This window comes from Homo sapiens, chromosome 11, assembly GCF_000001405.40.
Source record: "Homo sapiens chromosome 11, GRCh38.p14 Primary Assembly".
Lineage (NCBI taxonomy): Eukaryota > Metazoa > Chordata > Mammalia > Primates > Hominidae > Homo > Homo sapiens.
Window position 1 is genome coordinate 6,725,535 of NC_000011.10, and position 22,116 is coordinate 6,747,650.

At 38.2% G+C, this 22,116-nt stretch overlaps 3 annotated features.

Moving 5' to 3' along the window:
• Positions 10,973 to 11,062: an enhancer, noted in NCBI's record as "active region_4356". NCBI's record gives its function as "activates an Ori minimal core promoter by ATAC-STARR-seq in GM12878 lymphoblastoid cells {active_cell/tissue: GM12878}" and the evidence as "EXISTENCE:reporter gene assay evidence [ECO:0000049][PMID:35858748]".
• Positions 11,313 to 11,492: an enhancer, noted in NCBI's record as "active region_4357". NCBI's record gives its function as "activates an Ori minimal core promoter by ATAC-STARR-seq in GM12878 lymphoblastoid cells {active_cell/tissue: GM12878}" and the evidence as "EXISTENCE:reporter gene assay evidence [ECO:0000049][PMID:35858748]".
• Positions 20,955 to 21,144: an enhancer, noted in NCBI's record as "active region_4358". NCBI's record gives its function as "activates an Ori minimal core promoter by ATAC-STARR-seq in GM12878 lymphoblastoid cells {active_cell/tissue: GM12878}" and the evidence as "EXISTENCE:reporter gene assay evidence [ECO:0000049][PMID:35858748]".

The window sequence follows — 22,116 nt, forward strand, 5'->3', positions numbered from 1 at the left end:
AGACAAAGAAAGGATTGTAAAAGCAGAAAAAAAAGCAAAAGCAAATAACATATGAAGAAAGTCCAATTCATCTGGCAACAGAGTTCTTGTTGGATGCCATATAGGTCAGGAGGGAATGGAGTGACATTTTCAAAATGCCCAAAGACAGAAAACTCCCACCCAGGAATTCTAAATCCAGCAAAAATACCCTTTAAATATGAAGGAGAGATAAAGTCTTTCCTAGACAAACAAAATCTGGGCGAATTCACCACCACCAGACCTATCTTGCAAGTAATACTTAAGGGAGTTCTTCAATCTGAAAGAAAAAACACTAATGTGGAAAGATAAACTTTTCAAGATATAAAATTCACTGGAAAAATTAAGTAAACGGACAAACCAAGAATACTCCATTACTATAATTGTAGTGTGCAATTCACTTAACATGCTAGTATGAAGCCCAAAAGACAAATCTATCAAAAATAATAGATCCTGAATCAAAGACCAGAGGAAAAATATAGGTATAGCAACCTATTAAAAGATAGATGATATTAAAATATGTAAATTGAGACAACCAAAAGTCAAAATATGGGGACATGGAGTTAAAATGTAGAATTTGTTGTTTTTTTTTGGTTTGTTTATATTCTTTTATATGTAGTCTAAGTTGTCATCTTTTAAAAATAATTTTTTATATATATAAGATGTTTTCTGTAAGCCTCATGTTAACCACAGTACAACAGGCTATAATAAGTTCACTAAAAATAAAAAGCAACAAATTAAAACATACTACCAGAGAAAATTACTAACAACAAAAGAAGACAGTAAGACAGTAAAAAAGAAAGAGAGTACTCTCAAAATAAACGAAAACAAGCAACACTATGGCAGTAGTAAATTATCAAAATTATTTATCAAAATTAACACTGAATGTAAATAATCCCAGTTCTCCAGTTAACAGGTATTGATTGGGTGAATTTATAAATAAACAAGACCCAACTATATGCTGGCTTCAATATACTCACTTCACTTATAAAGTCACACATAGACTAATAGTAAAGGAGGGGAAAATATATTCCATACAACTGGAAAACAGAAAAGGGCAAGAGTAGCTATACTTATGTCAGCTAAAATAGACTTCAAATGAAAGACTATAACAAAAGGTAAAGTCACTATATGATGATAAAATGGTCAATTCAACAAGAAAATTGTATTAATCCTTTTTGCATTGCTATACAGTAAGTAATATCTGAGGCTGAGTAATTTATAAAGAAGACAAGTTTATTTGGGCTCATGGTTTTGCAGACTGTACAAGAAGCATATCGCAACATCTGCTTCTGGTGAGGGCTCAGGAAGCTTCCATCATGGCAGAATCTGAACGGGGAGCAGGCATGTCACATAGTGAGAGGGAGAGCAGGAGTGAGATGCCAGGCTCTTTTAAACAACCAGCTCTTGCATGAACTACTAGAGTGAGAACTCACTCATTACACTGAGGAGGACACCAAAACATTCATGAAGGATCTTCTCCCATGAACTAAACATTCCTCACTATGCCAACCTCCAACACCTGGCATCACATTTCAACATGAGATTTGGAGGGGACAAACATTTAAACTATATCACAGATACAACAATTATAAACCTATATGTACCTAACATTGAAGCTCCTTAGTATATAAAGCAAACATTAATAGATCTAAAGGGAGAAATAGACTGCAATATAATAATAGTGGGGGTCTTCAACACCCTACTCTCAGTAATGGACAGATCATCCAGACAGAAAATCAGCAAAGAAAAAGCAGAGTTAACCTACACATTAGATCTAATAGACCTAAATGACATTTACAGAACATTTCACCACACTTCCGCAGAATGTATATTCCTCTCATTAGCACATGGAATATTCTCTAGGACAGACCACAAGCAATGCCACAAAACCAATCTCAACAAATTCAAAGAAATCAAGATCATATTAAGTGTATTTTCTGACCACAATGAATAAAACTGGAAATAAATAAGAGAAACCTTGGAAACTATACAAACACATGGAAGTTATGTGTTCCTAACTACTGGCTAATGAAGAAATTAAGAAGGAATTTAAATAATTTCTTGAAATAAAGGAAAGTGAAAAGACAACATACCAAAATCAATGGGCTACAGCAAAAGAAGTACTAAGAGGGAAGTTTATAGCAGTAAATGCCTACATCAAAAAAATGGAAAGATTTCAAATAAACAACCTAATAATGCACCTCAGGAAACTAGAAAAACAAGAACAAACCAAAGCTAAAAATAGTAGAAGGAAAGAAATCATAAAGATCAGAGCAAGAATAAATGAAATTGAGGCTAAAAACATACTAGTATAAAAAATGTCTTGAAGAGTTTCCCCAATGTTTTCTTCTGGGAGTTTCATAGTTTTAGGTCTTATATTTAAGAATTGGAAGGGTGGTGAGGGGGATGATGAGGGGTTGGTTAATTTTATGTTATGTTAATTTCACTTCAATAAAGATTATGTAGATTTATACGTAAATAAAGTATATAAAAACAAGGGTAGTAAAACTCAAAATCCATCACTTTCTAATTATTTTCTATAATCTATGTTGCTGAATCCAAGTCTATGTTTTTTTCATTGCATATATGTGTGTGTGTGTAAAGAAGAGAGAGAGGGTATATTATGTAATGATGTGTTACTTTGCGTCTCTCACAATTTTAAGCTGGAGTTGGTAATTTGAAAGTGGCCACAGAGAGGATATTTATGTAATAGAAACAGGCAAATGCTACAAAACAGGAATTTTATTTTCTGAAGAGCTGGTTAAAACATTTACAACACACTCTTGATTGTAATCCTTCATAGTCTTCTCTGTTTCCCCTTGGCTCACTGACTGTAATCCCCAGAAACAGAGATTATGGCTTGTTCAGCTTTGAGTCCTGAAGACAGAACACGGTGCTGGCGATGACTGAGCACTTTTAAGAACTGACCAAAGAAGGTATGTTCTGTAAACTTTCGTATCTTTAGGCTTCCACGTTTCTTTCCTTTACTGCCTGTTTTCTAGTTGATTTGGGAAAATTCCAGCTTTATTCTGAATAAACTAAAGGAAGTTGTCTACATAAATCTTTTCCTAGAGGAAAACAAGAGCCCAGTGATCCAGGAAGCCATCTCCAGCTTGGACAAAGTGACATTTGGAACTGTGGGGCAGAGAGGGAAAGTCAGATGGAGAGTCAGTGACAGCTAGGATTGCTGATCTTTTCCTGCCAGGCATTGCTCTGATCCTTTCCTAAAGTTAGTGTATCCTCAGCTGCAGAGAATGGTTTCTTTCTAGGGACCCTGCTGTGTTCTGCTAAAAACTGGACTCCTTTCTGAGCTATATAGGAAATGTAGACAAAATATTACATGGATACATATTCCATTATCATTAAGGAAAAATTCTGTTCAATTTTTTCTCTACTTTTTCCCCTAGTAAACTAGGCGTGCTCTTTTTTTCGTGATAACACAATGCCAGAGTCGTGTCTCAAAAAAATTAAGTCTTCTCAACGAAAAACTTCTAGTAGAATGGAATCTTAGAAAGATACAGGGAGAAGATTTCCTCTCTTCCTTATATTTACAGAGAAACTTCAGTCCAACTAGAAATATGTCAATTTAAGAACAGTAACAATGAATATTATTCTTATTACTACTATGCAATCTCCGAATGTATGTATAACTGCTAGCTTCTTTTTGTCTCTCTTAATATACATTTCTCCTTGGAAGACTTATTTGAACAAAGGAGTCTTAAAAGTCTCCTGGACTTGGCTGGGCTCGGTGGCTCATGCCTGCAATCCCAGTACTTTCGGAGGCAGAGGTGGGCAGATCACTTGAGGTCAGGGGTTCAAGACCAGCCTGGCCAACATTGTGAAATCCTGTCTCTACTAAAAATACAAAAATTAGCTGGGGGTGGTGGCACACACCTATAAACCCAGCTACTAGGAAGGCTGAGGCAGAAGAATCACTTGAACTTGGGAGGTGGAGGCTGCAGTGAGCTGAGATTGCGCCACTGCACTTCAGCCAGGGCTACAGAGCGAGACTCTGTCTCAAAAAAAAAAAAAACAAAAAAAAAAAACTCTTGGACTTCAGAAATTCTTTCCATGCCCAATGGAAATAACACAATTTCAAAAATAAGACTGAAATTCTGAGTGCTTGTCTTACTTGAGCATTTATTACATCTATATTAAATTTAGAATGGATATCACTGTGTTCTTAAATGGTATGGGTACTATAAGAATATCAAATCAGAAGTGTGTTAGTGACATTTCTTCTTAAAATGAAACGAACAAATGAAGGACTTCGTTAGCTTTTGTGTTTAATAAAGCATCTGAGAGTTTTAAGAACTTAAGTTGGGTACATAACGAACTGAAGGCAGAAATAAAGATGTTCTTTGAAACCAATGAGAACAAAGACACAACATACCAGAATCTCTGGGACACATTCAAAGCAGTGTGTAGAGGGAAATTTATAGCACTAAATGCCCACAAGAGAAAGCATGAAAGATCTAAAATTGACACCCTAACATCACAATTAAAAGAACTAGAGAAGCAAGAGTAAACACATTCAAAAGCTAGCAGAAGGCAAGAAATAACTAAGATCAGAGCAGAACTGAAGGAAATAGAGACACAAAAAACCCTTCAAAAAATCAATGAATCCAGGAGCTGGTTTTGTGAAAAGATCAACAAAATTGATAGACCGCTAGCAAGACTAATAAAGAAGAAAAGAGAGAAGAATCAAATAGACGCAATAAAAAATGATAAAGGGGATATCACCACCGATCCCACAGAAATACAAACTACCATCAGAGAATACTATAAACACCTCTACGCAAATAAACTAGAAAATCTAGAAGAAATGGATAAATTCCTCGACCCATACATCCTCCCAAGACTAAACCAGGAAGTTGAATCTCTGAATAGACCAATAACAGGCTCTGAAATTGAGGCAATAATTAATAGCATACCAACCAAAAAAAGTCCAGGACCAGATGGATTCACAGCCGAATTCTACCAGAAGTACAAGGAGGAGCTGGTACCATTCCTTCTGAAACTATTCCAATCAATAGAAAAAGAGGGAATCCTCCCTAACTCATTTTATGAGGCCAGCATTATCCTGATACCAAAGCCTGGCAGAGACACAACCAAAAAAAAGAATTTTAGACCAATATCCTTGATGAACATCGATGCAAAAATCCTCAATAAAATACTGGCAAACCGAATCCAGCAGCACATTAAAAAGCTTATCCACCATGATCAAGTGGGCTTCATCCCTGGGATACAAGGCTGGTTCAACAAACGCAAATCAATAAATGTAATCCAGCATATAAATAGAACCAAAGACAAAAACCACATGATTATCTCAGTAGATGCAGAAAAGGCCTTTGACAAAATTCAACAACGCTTCATGCTAAAAACTCTCAATAAATTAGGTATTGATGGGACATATCTCAAAATAATAAGAGCTATCTATGACAAACCCATAGCCAATATCATACTGAATGGGCAAAAACTGGAAGCATTCCCTTTGAAAACTGGCACAAGACACGGATGCCCTCTCTCACCACTCCTATTCAACACAGTGTTGGAAGTTCTGGCCAGGGCAATCAGGCAGGAGAAAGAAATAAAGGGTATTCAGTTAGGAAAAGAGGAAGTCAAATTGTCCCTGTTTGCAGATGACATGATTGTATATCTAGAAAACCCCATCGTCTCAGCCCAAAATCTCCTTAAGCTGATAAGCAACTTCAGCAAAGTCTCAGGATACAAAATCAACATGCAAAAATCACAAGCATTCTTATACACCAATAACAGACAAACAGAGAGCCAAATCATGAGTGAACTCCCATTCACAATTGCTTCAAAGAGAATAAAATACCTAGGAATCCAAGTTACAAGGGATGTGAAGGACCTCTTCAAGGAGAACTACAAACCACTGCTCAATGAAATAAAAGAGGATACAAACAAATGGAAGAACATTCCATGCTTATGGGTAGGAAGAATCAATATCGTGAAAATGGCCATACTGCCCAAGGTAATTTATAGATTCAATGCCATCCCCATCAAGCTACCAATGACTTTCTTCCCAGAATTGGAAAAAACTACTCTAAAGTTCATATGGAACCAAAAAAGAGCCCGCAATGCCAAGTCAATCCTAAGCCAAAAGAACAAAGCTGGAGGCATCACACTACCTGACTTCAAACTATACTACAAGGCTTCAGTAACCAAAACAGCATGGTATTGGTACCAAAACAGAGATCTAGACCAATGGAACAGAAGAGAGCCCTCAGAAATAATGCTGCATATCTACAACTATCTGATCTTTGACAAACCTGACAAAAACAAGAAATGGGGAAAGGATTCCCTATTTAATAAAAGGCTTTGGGAAAACTGGCTAGCCATATGTAGAAAGCTGAAACTGGATCCCTTCCTTATACCTTATACAAAAACTAATTCAAGATGGATTAAAGACTTAAATGTTAGACCTAAAACCATAAAAACCCTAGAAAAAAACCTAGGCAATACCATTCAGGACATAGGCATGGGCAAGGACTTCATGTCTAAAACACCAAAAGCAATGGCAACAAAAGCCAAAATTGACAAATGGGATCTAATTAAACTAAAGAGCTTCTGCACAGCAAAAGAAACTACCATCAGAGTGAACAGGCAACCTACAGAATGGGAGAAAATTTTTGCAATCTACTCATCTGACAAAGGTTTACTATCCAGAATCTACAAAGAACTCAAACAAATTTACAAGAAAAAAACAACCCCATAAACAAGTGGGAGAAGGATATGAACAGACACTTCTCAAAAGAAGACATTTATGCAGCCAACAGACACAGGAAAAAATGCTCATCATCACTGGCCATCAGAGAAATGCAAATCAAAACCACAATGAGATACCATCTCACACCAGTTAGAATGGCGATCATTAAAAAGTCGGGAAACAACAGGTGCTGGAGAGGATGTGGAGAAATAGGAACACTTTTACACTGTTGGTGAGACTGTAAACTAGTTCAACCATTGTGGAAGTCAGTGTGGCGATTCCTCAGGGATCTAGAACTAGAAATACCATTTGACCCAGCCATCCCATTACTGGGTATATACCGAAAGGATTATAAGTCGTGCTGCTGTAAAGACACATGCACACGTATGTTTATTGTGGCACTATTCACAATAGCAAAGACTTGGAACCAGCTCAAATGTCCAACAATGATAGACTGGATTAAGAAAATGTGGCACATATACACCATGGAATACTATGCAGCCATAAAAAACGATGAGTTCATGTCCTTTGTAGGGACATGGATGAAGCTGGAAATCATCATTCTCAGCAAACTATGGCAAGGACAAAAAACCAAACACTGCATGTTCTCACTCATAGGTGGGAATTGAACAATGAGAACACATGGACACAGGAAGGGGAGCATCACACACCGGGGTCTGTTGTGGGGTGGGAGGAGGGGGGAGGGATAGCATTAGGAGATAAACCTAATGTTAAATGATGAGTTAATGGGTGCAGCACACCAACATGGCACATGTATACATATGTAACAAACTTGCACATTGTGCACATGTACCCTAAAACTTAAAGTATAATAATAATAAAAAAGAATTTAAGTTAATGGAGAGACAAAGAAGAAGAAATAGCCTCTGACATTGCAAAAATATGCTTATCACATGTTGCCTTAGTGGGCTTTGTTTTTCTTACTGTCAGGGAAGGAGCAGATGGGGATTTTGATGAAAGAGTTACTGAAATTGAATGTCTCTTCTTTTTCCCACAAAGTTTTGAGTTTACTCTGTTTCTGGGCATGACTACTATTCACTTCATTTAATTGAGAAACTATGAAATCATAATTAAATATAAAGGGCTCAGAGGTGAAAGGCAAACAAGAGCTGTTGTTCAGGTAGCTTTGCCCATAATAGACAAGGAAAATGAGAGCTTTGGGTTAGATGGGCAGTTGCAGAGGCAACCATGGTTTCTTCTCTATGAGACCACATAGTGTCATGGGAAGGAAACCAGATTTACAGTTCTCTGTCTGCTCTTTACCACCTGTGTGATCTTGAGTTCGTTACTCACCATCTGTGATTATTTATCTTTTTTCTATATTAAAATGGCCACTATCAAAACCATTTCTTATTAAGATGATCAAATGACATGTTTTAGTTTTCTATTGCTGTGTAGCAAATTACCATAAACTTGAGGGTTTAAAGACACACATTTATTATCTCACAGTTTCTATAAGTCAGAAGTCCAGGCATAGTGTAGTTATGTTCTCTGCTTTAAGAGCTCACCAGATTTTAATCTAGGTGTTTGCTGAGGATGTGGTCTCATCAAAGGTTTGAGCGGTGCTATGGTTTGAATGTTTGTCTGCTCCAAAACTCATGTTGAAATTTGGTTCCCACCGTGGTGGTATTAGAATATGAGAATTTTGGGAAGCAAAAGGGCCATGAGGGCTCTGCCTTCCTATGTGGGATTAATGCTCTTATAAAAGAGTGAGTTTGGTCTTCTTTTTCCTCTGTGCTCTTCTGCCATGTGAGGACATGTTGTTCCTCTCTGTTGGAGGATGTTGCAAGAAGGCCATTGTCAGATGCTGGTGGCTTTATCTTGGACTTCCCAGCCTGCAAAACTGTAAGAAAATAAATTTCTATTCTTTATAAATTACCCAGTCTCAGGTATTCTATTATAACAGCACAAATGGACTAAGACAGCAGGGTAAAGATCTGTCTTCAAGCTTTCTAAGGTTGTTGGCAGAATTCATCTTATAATTATAGGATTGAGGTCCCTATTTTCTTGTCTAGAGGCCATTCTCAGCTCTCAGAGGCTGCCCATAGTTCTTTGCCACATGATATTCTCCATTGCCACATGCTATTCTCCACAGGCCTTCTCTAAATATGGTGACTTGCCTTTTCAAAGCCAGCATGGAGGAACTTCTTGTCCTCATCTGCTGGAATGGTGGCTTCTAAAATGTAACGTGATCATGGGAGTTAGATCCTGTCATCTTTGCCATATTCTATTAGCTAAAAGCAAATCACAGGACCCACTTAGACTCAAGAGAGAAAATTACATAAATATGTGGACACCAGGACATGGGAACCTTAAGATCTGCTTACCACAATCTACCATCTGGCCCCTAGTGATTCATGTCCCTCTCACATAAATAAATTTATCCCCTTTGATATGGTTTGGTTCTGTGTCCCCAACCAAATCTCATCTTGAATTGTTATCCCCACGTGTCAAGGGAGGGACCCAGTGGGAGTTGATTGGATCATGGAGGTGGTTTCCCTCATGCTGTTCTCATGATTGTGAGTGAGTTCTCATGAGATCTGATGGTTTTATAAGTGCAGTTTCCCCTGTTCTTCTCTCTCCTGCTGCCACGTAAGACCTGCCTGTTTCCCCTTCTGCCATGATTGTAAGTTTCCTGAGGCTTCCCCAGCCATGCAGAACTCTGAGTCGATTAAACCCTTTTTCTGTATAAATTACTGTGTCTTGGGTATTTCTTTATAGCAGTGTAAAAACAGACTACTATACCCCTTATCAGTTCTGAGAGTGTCATCCCACTATGAATTACTTGACCTCTAAAATTTCATTATTTAAATTAAGTCCAGGCATGGATTAAACTCCTAGGTGTAATCTGTTAAGTATACCTTCTGGGGAAGTGTTGGTCTCCATCTACAGACTGGTGAAACTAAAGATCCAAGTTATCTGTCTCCAGTATACCTAACATACAATGATGGGACAGACATAGGATAAAAGCTATGGGCGTTTTAGTTCAAAAAGGGGGAAAATAGAAGTTTAAAAATGTGTCACTTTTTCATAATAATCTTGAAATCCAGCTGGGAAAGCTATAGTTGGCATTCCTTTATTACGTTTCAAGATCTGAATGTAATTTTCTATGGTTCCTAGTTTTACTCTCTGGGTTCTTAATTCTGCCGCCTGAGTCATCCTTCCTTTTTCATGAAAGGTAGCATGTGTTCACAGCTGAGTAGTTTTATTAGCCTTCTTCCTGCCAGTAGGATTTTTTTTGGGGGGAGGCATCTAACAGCCTCTTTTCATTCTGTACTCTCTTTGTCTTTCAGTTTAAGTGGCAGTGTTTCTGCTGAACTAAGTTTTCAAGAACATGTGGGTCTTTGATGTATTACAGTGGAGTTTATTAGAAAAAAGCCACATTTAAAGACCGTTTTCAGATAAACCCTTCCATACTTTGGCCTTCTGCTGAGAAGGGGAAGGGACAGTGCCCTAAAGCTTCCAACTAGGGGACTTTGTGTTGGATTGATGTCTGGGAGGCAAACTCTGATTCTCTTAAAAGAACACTTTATGTGCCTGATTAATCTAAACTTTTTATATTTCTGATTTTTCAGCAAAGGATTATACAGTCATACCCAGCAGAGATTCATGATGGAGTCTCTCAATTGTAGTGTGTTTTGCCTTTTGGAGAGGCTGAGAATTTCAAAATTATGGAGTCCTGGTTTCTTTTTATCTAATAATTCTTTTCTCAAATTTATCTTTCACCTCTCACATTTTATTACAAGCTGAAAGAAGAAATCAGGAGAAATCTTCAACACTTTGCCTGGAAGTCTCTTTAACTATAACCAAATTTGTTACTTACAGGTTCTGATTTGTATGTAACTCCAGGAAATAATTTTGCTAGGTCATTCTGCCACTATATAAGAAGGATCCTTTTCCTCCTGACTCCAATAGCATGTTCTTTACTTTCTTCTGAGCCTTCACTGCAGTATCCTTAAATTCTAGATCTCTACTAATAGTCCATCCAGGGCAATTTAGACTTTTTCTATCATGTTCCTCAAAATTATTCTAGCCTGCTCCCACTTCCCAATTCCAAAGCTGTTTCCATGTTTTTTAGGTTTTTGTTATAGCACCACTCAACTTCTAGAAACTAGAAATCTCTATTATTTTTATATTGCTGTGTAACAAATTACCACAAACTTAGTATCTTAAAACAATACATCTCTATCATAGTTCCTGTCAGAAGCTCTGGCATGACTTAGCTGGGTCCTCTGCTTGGGGTCTCACAAGGCTGCAATCCAGGTGTTAACTGAGCTGTATTCTCATGCAGAGGCTTGGCTGGAGAAAAACTGCTTCCAGGCTTATGTGTTGGCAGAATTCAATTCGTTGTGGTTGTTGGACTGAGGTTCCCATTTTTTTGTTGGCTGTCATCCAGGGCTGCTCTCAGCTCCTGGAGGCTGCCTACAGTTCCTTACCACATAGCCATCTCCATAGCTCCTCTCACAACACGATGGCTTACCTTTCAAGGCAACTGGAGAGAGAAGTATCTGCCCTAAGGAAGGACTCAGTCTCTTTTTTAAGGGCTTTACCTAATTAAGTCAGGCCTATTCAAGATAGTCTTCCTTGTGGTTAACTCAAAGTCAGTTTGGGACTTTAATTGCCTCTGAAAAACCCCTTCACCTCTGCCATATTACTCAAAAGAAGAGGAGACATTATATAAGGCACAAATCATGGAGCCTGCCTTATCTGTCTGCCAACTAACAAAACAAAAAAAGTGCTTATCCCAGTGTTTGATCTGAAGTAGGGGCTCAATAAATGTTAACTACTTCAGTCGTTTAATTTTTTGAAAATCCCTGCTGAAACTACAGTGTCCATCCCAGTGGGATGTGGGGCTCAAACATGTAAATTCTCATGGAAGGGAAGGAGGACCTAAATGAGGTTACCACTGTCAAGCCAAGAGAACATCTCATTCTCCTAGAGATTACAGAATTTCTTAGAGTTAATGAAAATATATAGAGAGGAGCCATGACTGAGGACCTAGAAGAGCTAACCCAGAGAATTTATATGGAATGTATGTTCATATTGGGTTTCAGGAATTTTTCACTGTGACAAGTTAAAACACAAAGAGGAACAGAGAGTGGGCAGAAAGAAATTGGAGATTAGGAGGCTTAGCAATTGTAGCTGGGCTATTCAGGACATGGAATTCATTTGGTGCTTTCATCTCTTTCTGTCTGATGAAGGCAAAATTGTTGGGATGATTTCTGGTTAAGATTGGCCAAAGTTTGCTGGGCACGGTGGCTCATGCCTGTAATCCCAGGACATTGGGAGGCTGAGGTGGGAGGATCACTTGAGGCCAGCAGTTCGAAACCAGCCTGGCCAACATGGTGAAACACCATCTCTACTAAAAATACAAAAAATTAGCCGGGGGTGATGGCGGGCATCTGTAATCTCAGCTACTCGGGAGGCTGAGACATGAGAATTGCTTGAACCCAAGGCGGGGAGGTTGCAGTAAGCTGAGATTGCGCCACTGCACACCAGCCTGGGCAACAGAGCGAGACTCAGTCTCAAAAAAAAAAAAAAAGGATTAGTCAAGGAACTGAAGTAACTAGGAAGCTAGCAGGTATAGCAGAAAAAAAGTTAGGAAAAGAAGGGCTGCTTGAATAGGATGAACAAGGCCCAAGCACCAGAGAAACCTGCAGGACTGGGGACGGAAACACAGGAAAGAGAGAAGCTCCTCAGATAGGTCTCTCTCCAATCTCCAGGTGACCACAAAGATTTAAAGTAGAATGGCGGACCAGCCACTAGAGGGAGCATTAATACAGTCTTTTGTATTACTGTGTCAAGTTATGATGAAGATATGGAAGGTGACATTGAAAAACAAAGTAATGATCAAGACAGAGGGCCTGAATTAAGGCCAAGCCTTTTTCCTTTGTACTGTAACTTGAAGTTACATACCACAGCTGCAGCCAGGGAATCTGATTCTATTGGGTAACTTTCAGAAGAATCTTCCCATCTCCTGGTACTTCTACTATGAGTTAATAAGAAATATTGGGCATGGGAATTGCTTTAATGTGGAGACTATCATTATTTTGGTGTAGACTGAAGGTAACAGGAGATGCTGTGTCTCTTTTCTGCTAATGTTTTTGGCAAGTCCTGGGTTTGGTTTGGTTTTGTTCTTTTCTCCAAGAAGGGACATTCTTTCCTCAAGGAGATGAAGGTTGTGACCTAGGGAGGTCTCTCTAGCCTTTGAAATCCTATAGCCGTTGACCACCAAGTGGGTTAGGAGGGAACCAAAAAATAGGATACAAACTGCAGTTGCTTTTTCCTTCTAAGGCTTCTATTAAGCTAGAATTCTCAGAGCTGTCATTTCAAGAGAATAGACCAGGACATGTAGGGAGGTGGGAAGAATTTTCAATGATAATTGTCTCTACTGTACAACCCGGTGCATATTTGGACAAACATTGTGTGGCTCTAGGAGGTGGGGAGTCAATGTAGGTCCCACCACACCATCAGACTCTCCTCACTCTGCACTCCACATGAGTAAGCTCTGTGGGGCACTGTGGAAATGGGTCAGAAGAGAGTTTTCAAGATGACTTTCCCTGATGGGAGCTGGCAGCCTTTTGATATGTACCCAATGAAAAATATGATCCATTAGTAATTTGGGAACATCAGTTTGTATCCTAAAGGACACCACTTTTTTTTGTTTTGTTTTGTTTTTAGATGGAGTTTCACTCTTGTCACCCAGGCTGGAGTGCAATGGCACAATCTTGGCTCACTGCAACCTCTGTCTCTTGGGTTCAAGCGATTCTCCTGCCTCAGCCTCTCAAGTAGCTGGAACTACAGGCATGCACCACCATGCCCAGCTAATTTTTTATATTTTTAGTAGAGATGGGGTTTCACCATGTTGGCCAGGCTGGTCTTGAATGTCTGACCTCAGGTGGCCCACCCACCTTGGCCTCCCAAAGTGCTGAGATTACAGGCGTGAGCCACCGCGCCCAGTCAGGATACCACTTTTGATCATCAGGCAAAACAGAAAAAGATTTCAACTTTGAACTAAATATAATTGATATCTAAATATATGAATTAAGTTCCACATTGCTCTAGAGAAATATATCTTTCAACCAAATTAGTTAAGGAACAAGTAAAACTCTAGAGAAAGATACCTTTCTCTAGAGCAATGTGGAAATTAATTCACGTATTTAGTTCTCACCAAAGACTGAGTCCCTGGTAGTTATGAAGCTTACTAAATTGATCTTTACTGAGGATTAATGCAAAAGCATTGACTAGGTGTAGGTAGTGTCAGAACAAACTTTAGTATTTTTTTTTCAGAAGGTAATTATCTTTATAGTTAGGAAATGAAGAAGGAATCCATTCCTTTGGCCAGAGTATCTGGGAGGAAATCCTTTGCAGTTACATAAAAAGTGAACTTTTTTGGTTACAGGAAGGATGTAATAACAAGTAACAGGATTACATCTTTTTCAAGACCATGTTTTCTCATTTCACAGACTTACTGTCTAAAATATACACCTATAAAATGGTGTGTACATCTGAGACTTTTGTATTAGGAACCTGTTCTGATAGTCTCCAAAGGTAACAAGTCCTTCTTTGTAGCCTTGTATGCCCCAGAGCAGGTGCTAGGGTCATGCAAATGAGAAAGAAGTGGGTATGCGAGTGATGGGAAGATGGAAGAGGAGGAGGAAAATGTCCCTTAGTTGTTGTCAACTCTACTGTTACCCACAAAGAAGGACTTGTGTGCTAGAGGTAGATTATTTACCCATACTTTTGGATGCTGGAAAAATTTAGACAATAATTTGGACAATAATTTTTCCTCCTATCCAATAATACAACTTTGGTCTATTGTGGATATAGATTCAGAGAAGGCAGGAATTCATTCAAGGAAAGGAAAATGCTGCAAAAAACTAGTGGAGGTGTGAAGGCTTTTAATGTCTTCACTTCTATGCCTGATTTACCTGACATATTGGCGCATCAAACAAGCTTGGTTTTAAGCTAATTTAGAGTAAGAAGTATGAGTTAATATTTCAAATCAGTTCTCAATCTTTATTTAAAATTATCATCTGGGGACATTAAAAAAAATTCCCAGTCCCACTCACAGAAGTTCTGACATGTGAAGCCTAGTTATTGTTCAGAAACTATCATTTTCTAAAACACTCCAAAGTTCATTTAATACATGCTTCCAAATGTTAAGTATTCAATCCCATTTTGTAAAAACACTATCCTGGCCGGGCATGGTGGCTCATGTCTGTAATCCCAGCACTTTGGGAGACGGAGGCGGGTGGATCACCCGAGGTCTGGAGTTCGAGACCAGCCTGGCCAACATGGTGAAACTCTGTCTCTACTAAAAATACAAAAATTAGCTGGGTGTGGTGGCGGGCACCTGTAATCCCAGCAACTTGGGAGGCTGAGGCAGGAGAATCACTTGAACCCAGGAGGCGGAGGTTGCAGTGAGCAGAGATCACACCATGGCACTCTAGCCTGGGCGACAGAGTGAGACTCTGTCTCCAAAAAAAAAAAAAGAAAAGAAAAGAAAAGAAAAAAAGAAAAAACACTATCCTAAGGAGACACTTTCAGTGGAGAAAATGTGGGAGTGTAAAATATTAATTTTGCCATTTTGGATGGTCTGGATATAGAAACAACTCATTTGAGAGTTTTTGCATCCTGGTTTCCAACTAAAGTATTCTTTCTGGCTGAATGTTTGCATGAACACACCTGAAGACTCTATTGCTATGCTAGAATGTTCAACTGAGGGTTGTTTCAGAATTTAACCTCAAAGGATAAAGAAATGGAAAAAGGGTGAGCTCTAAAGAGACATGGAACATAGATCCAAAAGTGCTGCCAATGCTGACTGACTAACATAATTTTGAGAAGGAGAGATTAGAAAGAATAGAGGAGAAAAATGATCAAAGAAACAATAGAGGAACACTTCCCAGAGCTGCAGTATGACCTGATTCTTCATATTGAAAGTATACATCAACTGTTGAACAAAGCAAATCAAAGTATTAATAATTAATAAAATAACTTATAATTATTGTAATACTTGAAATATTGTAAAATTTTTGAAAGTATATATCAAATGTTGAACACAATGAATAATACAATTATTCTAATTAATAATATATAATAATAAAATAATACAATTATAAATAATTATAAATTGTTAAATAGTTATAAAAACAAAATTTTAAAATAATGAAATTATAATTTTATCATTATAATTATTCTTTTCAACATTTGACGTATACTTTCAATGCAAAGAATCAGGTCATATTGCAGTTCTGGGAAGCATCCTTTTATAATATAATATGATATTTTAGGATATGATTATAATATAAATATGTAATATCATATTCTAAATAATATGACCAGAACCTAACATTATATACCAATCAAATTAGTAAAGGAACAAGTAAAACTATTAGCAAAATACTTGTGGTTGTATAATGTAAAAATTAGGAACAGTTTCTAATTAAAATTCTAGCTGGTTCAATATAGGAGAGATAATGTTTTATGGATGAGGACAGTGCGTATGTGGTGGTTGTGGTGAGAGTGAATTTATGCAATATTAATAGAAAATTATTTTTGAAGGTCTCAGATAATGATGGAGTGCAGTCATGACACTCACACAAAAGGGTGATTATATCCTAACTAATGGAATAATGATGAAGCCGTCTTTGCAAAATTGTGAATGAGACAGTGAAAGAGATCTAACTTAACTAACTCCATCTTGCTTCTAACCTCCAATTTGTCCTTGTTCATTCTTGGGTGTGGGTTGAACTAGCTTTGGGAGAAACTTAGTTTATAGTTTAAACAGAGATGGTGGCAGCCCTTTCCCAGGGCAGACTTCCTTTTTACCTGGGGACTAAATTGCTTTTGTAGGACTAAGATTAGCCACAAGATTATAAATTATGGTTTAGGAGTCATGCAGCTGGAGGCTGAAAGATTCTGAGCCTCTCTAAACTGCTCCTAAGATCATTGCTTGAGAGATTTTGCAGATCCTGTACTTAATGGATCAGCCGGCACCACCCAGATCGATAAACTGGCTCATCTGATCTTGTGGTCCCCATCCAGGAACAAACTCAGCGCAAGAAGACAGCTTCGACTCCCTATGACTTCGTCCCTGACCAGTCAGCACTCCTGGCTCCCTGGCCTCCCCCAACCTGCCAAGTTGTCCTGAAAAACCCTGCTCCCCGAATGCTTGGGGAGACTGATTTGAGTCATAATAAAACTCTGGTCTCCCACACAGCTGGCTCTGTGTGAATTACTCTTTCTCTATTGCAATTCCCTTGTCTTGATGAATCAGCTCTGTCTAGGTAATGGGCAAGGTGATTCCCTTGAGCGATTACAATGAAATGGAATTGGTTTTAATAAGTACCACAAAGGTAGGGAAAAGAATCCAGTCAAGAAATCATGGATACATATAAAGTGGCAGAGATAATCCAAGATTTCTATCTCTAGATAAATGCCAATATGTGCACATATGCACCAAGACACATCTATGAGAATGTTCATGGCAGCACTATTCATAAAAGTCACAACTGGAAATAAAGCAAATATCCATCCACATCCAGATGGGTAAATAAAGTTTGGCATATTCATACAATAGAATGTTATACAACAATGAAAACAAATACCACAGCTCTGCACAACAATATGGGTTAATCTCTCAATATTAAGTTGTGAGAAAGGAGTCAAATACAAAAGAATAACACTGTAAACTTCCACATAAAGAAAGATAACTGGCAAAAATAATTTATAATATTCCCATCTTTCCAGCATTTCAGACTCCAAAGAAACCTCTCTTTCCTTCAGTCCTTACAATCAGACATCACATCTTCATGATTTCATATTGAATTGTATTATCTATCTCTTCCTTAGTGCCAGGCACTTTGCTAGACAATAGGGTTGAAGAGAGAAATAAGAAAATGCATGGGAGAGTCTTTGAGCCTAAAATCCAGCAGCCTAGAGAAAAAGCTAAGAGTGACAAAAAGATTTACATCAAAGCATGTTAAGGGTCCTCTCCCCTTTGATGGCCTCACTTCCTAATTCTAGAGAAGCCATCTGGTCAGGCCTTTCTCACATTCAAACGTTTCACCTTCAAATTTAAGACTACAGTGGCCACCCTTGTGTTTTTTTTTTTCTGATCCCCAAGGAAGAAGTGTCCCTAATCTCTGTGCAATACTAATTCCGTCCTTGAAATCCTGCTCCTACTTATCTCCCCTAGGGTCTTGCTTTCTATCTCTTGAGTCTAAGATATCTCCAGCATCTTACTTTCTTGGTTGCTTCACTCTGGACAAGAAAACATACTCGAGGCTTCCCATACTACTTAAATGCAAATTGGTTCCTGCCTATTCTATAAGTTTTTACTTTCTTTATATTTTCATTATTTCTAGATTTCTCAAAAAAGTATTTCAATTAGGCATATCTGGCTCAATAAATGTTTGTTGATGAAATGAATTGATGAATTCGTTCCACCTACTTCTCATCATTTAGTCTCACTTCATCTTTTTCTTAAAAAGTTCTCTATAAGCCTGATGCTCACATTCAAATTACCAAGTCAGATGTCTCTACAATATTTTCATCCTACTAATTCTAGGGACCTGTCTTTTTTGACTGCCTCTCCTTTCTTGTATCCATCATGAAAATATTCCTTTAAGTGAAACTGATCACACAAGTAACATGGATTAGAGATTTATCAAAGATAAGCTAAAAATCCCAGAATTTGTTTCACGCTTTTTTTTTTTTTGAGACGGAGTTTTGCTCTTTTGCCCAGGGTGGCATGATGTCGATCTTGGCTGCAACCTCTACCTTCTGGGTTCAAGCAATTTTCCTGCCTCAGTCTCCTGAGTAGCTGGGATTACAGGTTCCGCCACCACACCTGGCTAATTTTTGTATTTTTAGTGGAGACGGTGTTTTACCATGTTGGCCAGGCTGGTCTCAAACTCCTGACCTCAGGTGATCCACCCACCTCGGCCTCCCAAAGTGCTGGGATTACAGACGTGAGCCATCGTGCCCAGCCTTCATACATGTTTATTGAGGGCTTTCAGTGTGTTGAAAAAAGTTCTAGGTGCTGTGGGTTGACTGATGAATAGATTAGATCCCTACCCTTACAGAATTCACATTTTAATAGAGGAAGGATTATGAACTTGTAAATGTATGAATAAGTAGATAACATTTTCAGAGTTTTTTAAGTGCTAAGAAAGAAATAAGGAAGTAATGGGATTAAAGGTCACTTGAGACTACTTTAGATTTTGTGCTTAGAGCGTACCTCTTTGAGGAGATGTATCTCTGCTGTTAACTATGTGATGCTTTAGGCCCTTCTTGTCTTTTCTAGTTTCTACCAAATTTTAGTTTGCCTCAGACTCTGACACCTACCCTATATCTTACTATTCCTTTGGATTAGGAGTTGTTCTTTGGACTTGTTGGATTAACTATGTAGAAAGGTTTATTCAATTAAAAACTCATCCTAAATTCCTGGCTCTAGCCCTTTGGCCACATCTTCTTCTAGGAAAATTTTTGATAAAGGAAATCCACCCAGTTTTGATGGTGAAATGGTGAAGCAGGAAACTTTTATGTCGTGGAAGCTTCGTTTTCCTAGTTCTTCCCCCATAATTTTGCTTCCTGTTGAATACCCATTACATATTGGACATTAGTGTGCCCTATTTGCCTATTCTGTGAGAGTAGCCCTTGAATCTATTTTCTCACTCCTCTTGTGATCCATTTTCTACATTCCATCCTGAAAATCGTATTTAAATCATTTACTTCTTTGTTTACAAACTTTTGAAATCCTACATTCGTTTATGATACAATGAAAACTACGTGACCCTGGCCGTTAAGACCCCTCATAATGTGGCAGCAATTAACCTCTGTAATTCCTTTTTACAACCACTCTTTTCCCTTTTCCTACCATCTGGGTCACTCTCTTCCCTTAAATGCCACATCAGCCATCTTCCCTCCACCTCAAGGACCTCAAGATGTTTCTTGACTTTGCATATTTCACTATATGAACCCTTCCCTACTTTCTCTCCCTAGGATTTTACACTCCTGACCTAGTTCATGTTTCTCTTTATTTGTGAAGCTTCATTAATTTTCCAGGTCAAGTTAGCAACTCTCTTTTCTGTGTTTGCAATACTAGCTATTATTCAAATGAGTCAAATTAACAACATGAAACTTTTTTACTTGAGCCCTTTGTTCCTGGAAAACAGTTATGGTTAAAGAAATCCATCCACTTTTTTTGTGTTCTGAGAAAGGGATTATTACAAAAAACCACCCCTCCCCATATGACTTAGATAAGGCATATGTGTCTTTTTTTTTATGATAGGCCAGACACAGACTCTTTAAATTCTCATTCTCAGCTTCATAAAAGATTAGCTGAACTGTTTATCCTCACTGGACAGTAGAAACAAAGTGATTATTAACTTGACCGAATATCAGTTAAATTTCTCTTCCTCTTCCATGCTCGTGAGTTTTGATCTATCCTTCTTCTGACCCAGCATACAACCCTCCTAAGAATCAGCTGACCTTGGGTAAAACATTTCATGGTGATCTTCCTGTCCCCATACTGATATCTTTCTAGCTTTGTTGATCCTTCACCATAAAAGGAAATCTTTTTCTCTCTGGTCTTTGAGATGCTTGTAGCTCTTGTGGTTGGATGGTTTTCTCTATTGCAATACTCTCCTTCCTCTTGTTGCAATGATCCTTGTGAATAAAGTCTCTCTTTACCTAAAAATGTGTTTGTTTTTATTTGATAACAAAAGTTACCAAAATGTTTTTTGTCTGTTTCAATTATATACTCCTTCTTCTCCCAGATTTGTAGCTTTTTGGAACCAGTCTTTTTCCTTTTCCTACCATCTGGCTCACTCTCTTCCCTTAAATGCCACATATTGGACATTAGTATGCTCTATTAATGACAATGCCAAATCCACATTTGTATTCCCAGCATGTCTTAATCTCCCTGTGTCTGACTGCTCCCTATGTTTATTTACATCAATTTCTCTTTCTACTTTAGTTTCTGGGTCTGTTGCTGTATCTCTCTGTCTGCTCTATTTCCTCTGTTCTTTACCTACCTGTCCTGAGGCCAAGATCCTGTCTTCAGGTTGCTCCAGAGAGACGTGCATGGAGAGTAGGTTCCTTTTCTGGGGCTGGGGCTGCCGACGTACAGCTTCACCCCAGGCTTTGGCCCCTTATGTGAGACAGGAAACTGAGTTTATCCTCAGAGCAGTGCAAAACTTCCTGCTGTAAGGTTTTACTTTCGTATTTGTTTTTTGTTTCTAAATCTGCTGATTGAAAGGAAGCCTGTTTATGCTTTCTTGCGAACACCATGTTCATATGGGAACTGGACCATGTTTACATTGGGACCACCATGTCCTTACATGGCAGAAGAGCAAACAGGCAAAAGAGGGCTGAAATCACCCTTTTATAACAGCATTAATACTATCTATGAGGCAAGAACTCTCATGGCCCTCTCACCTCCCAAAAGCTCCATCTTCTAACACCCCCACAATAGGAACCAAATTTCAACATTAATTGAGAACAGACAAACACTCAAACCAGAGCTCCAGTCAAATCCTCGATGAGACCATGATCTCAGTCAACACTAGATTACAATCTGGTGACATCCTAAAGTAGAGAACATAGCTGTACTTTACCTGGACTTCTGGTTACAGAAACTACAAAATAATAAATGTGTGCCATTTCAAACCTCTAAGTTTGTGGTAATTTGTTATGCAGCAATAGAAAACTAAAATATGTCAGTTGATCATCTTAATGAGAAATGGTTTTGGTAATGGCCATTTTCAAGATAGGAAAAAGAAAAATAATCACAGGAGATAGATGACAAACCCAAGATCACACAGGTAGTAAGAAGCAGACAGAGAACTCTAAGTCTAGCTTTCTTCCCATGACACTATGTGGTCTAACAGAGAAGAAACCATGGTTGCCTCTGCAACTGCCCATCTAAACGAAAGCTCTCATTTTTCTTATCTCTGATGGACAGAGATGCCTGCAAAACAGCTCCCTTATTTGCCTTTCACCTCTGAGGATAATAGCCCTTTATACTGAATTAACATTTCATAGTTTCTTAATTAAATGGGGTGAATAGTGATTAGGCCCAGACGCACGATAAACTCAGAGCTTTACAGAAAAAAGAGGAAACACTCAATTTCAGTGATTCTTTTATCAAAATTCCCATCTGTTCCTGCCCTGACAGTGAGAAAAATGAAGCCCACTAAGGTAACATGTGACTTCTGTGTGTGAGCAATTTTTTTTGCAACATCTGAGGCTCTTTTTCTACATCCCTCCAGTGATTTAAATTTCTAAAACTCAAGTTCTTTATTAAACACAAGCACTAAGAGAGTAACAGTCATTTA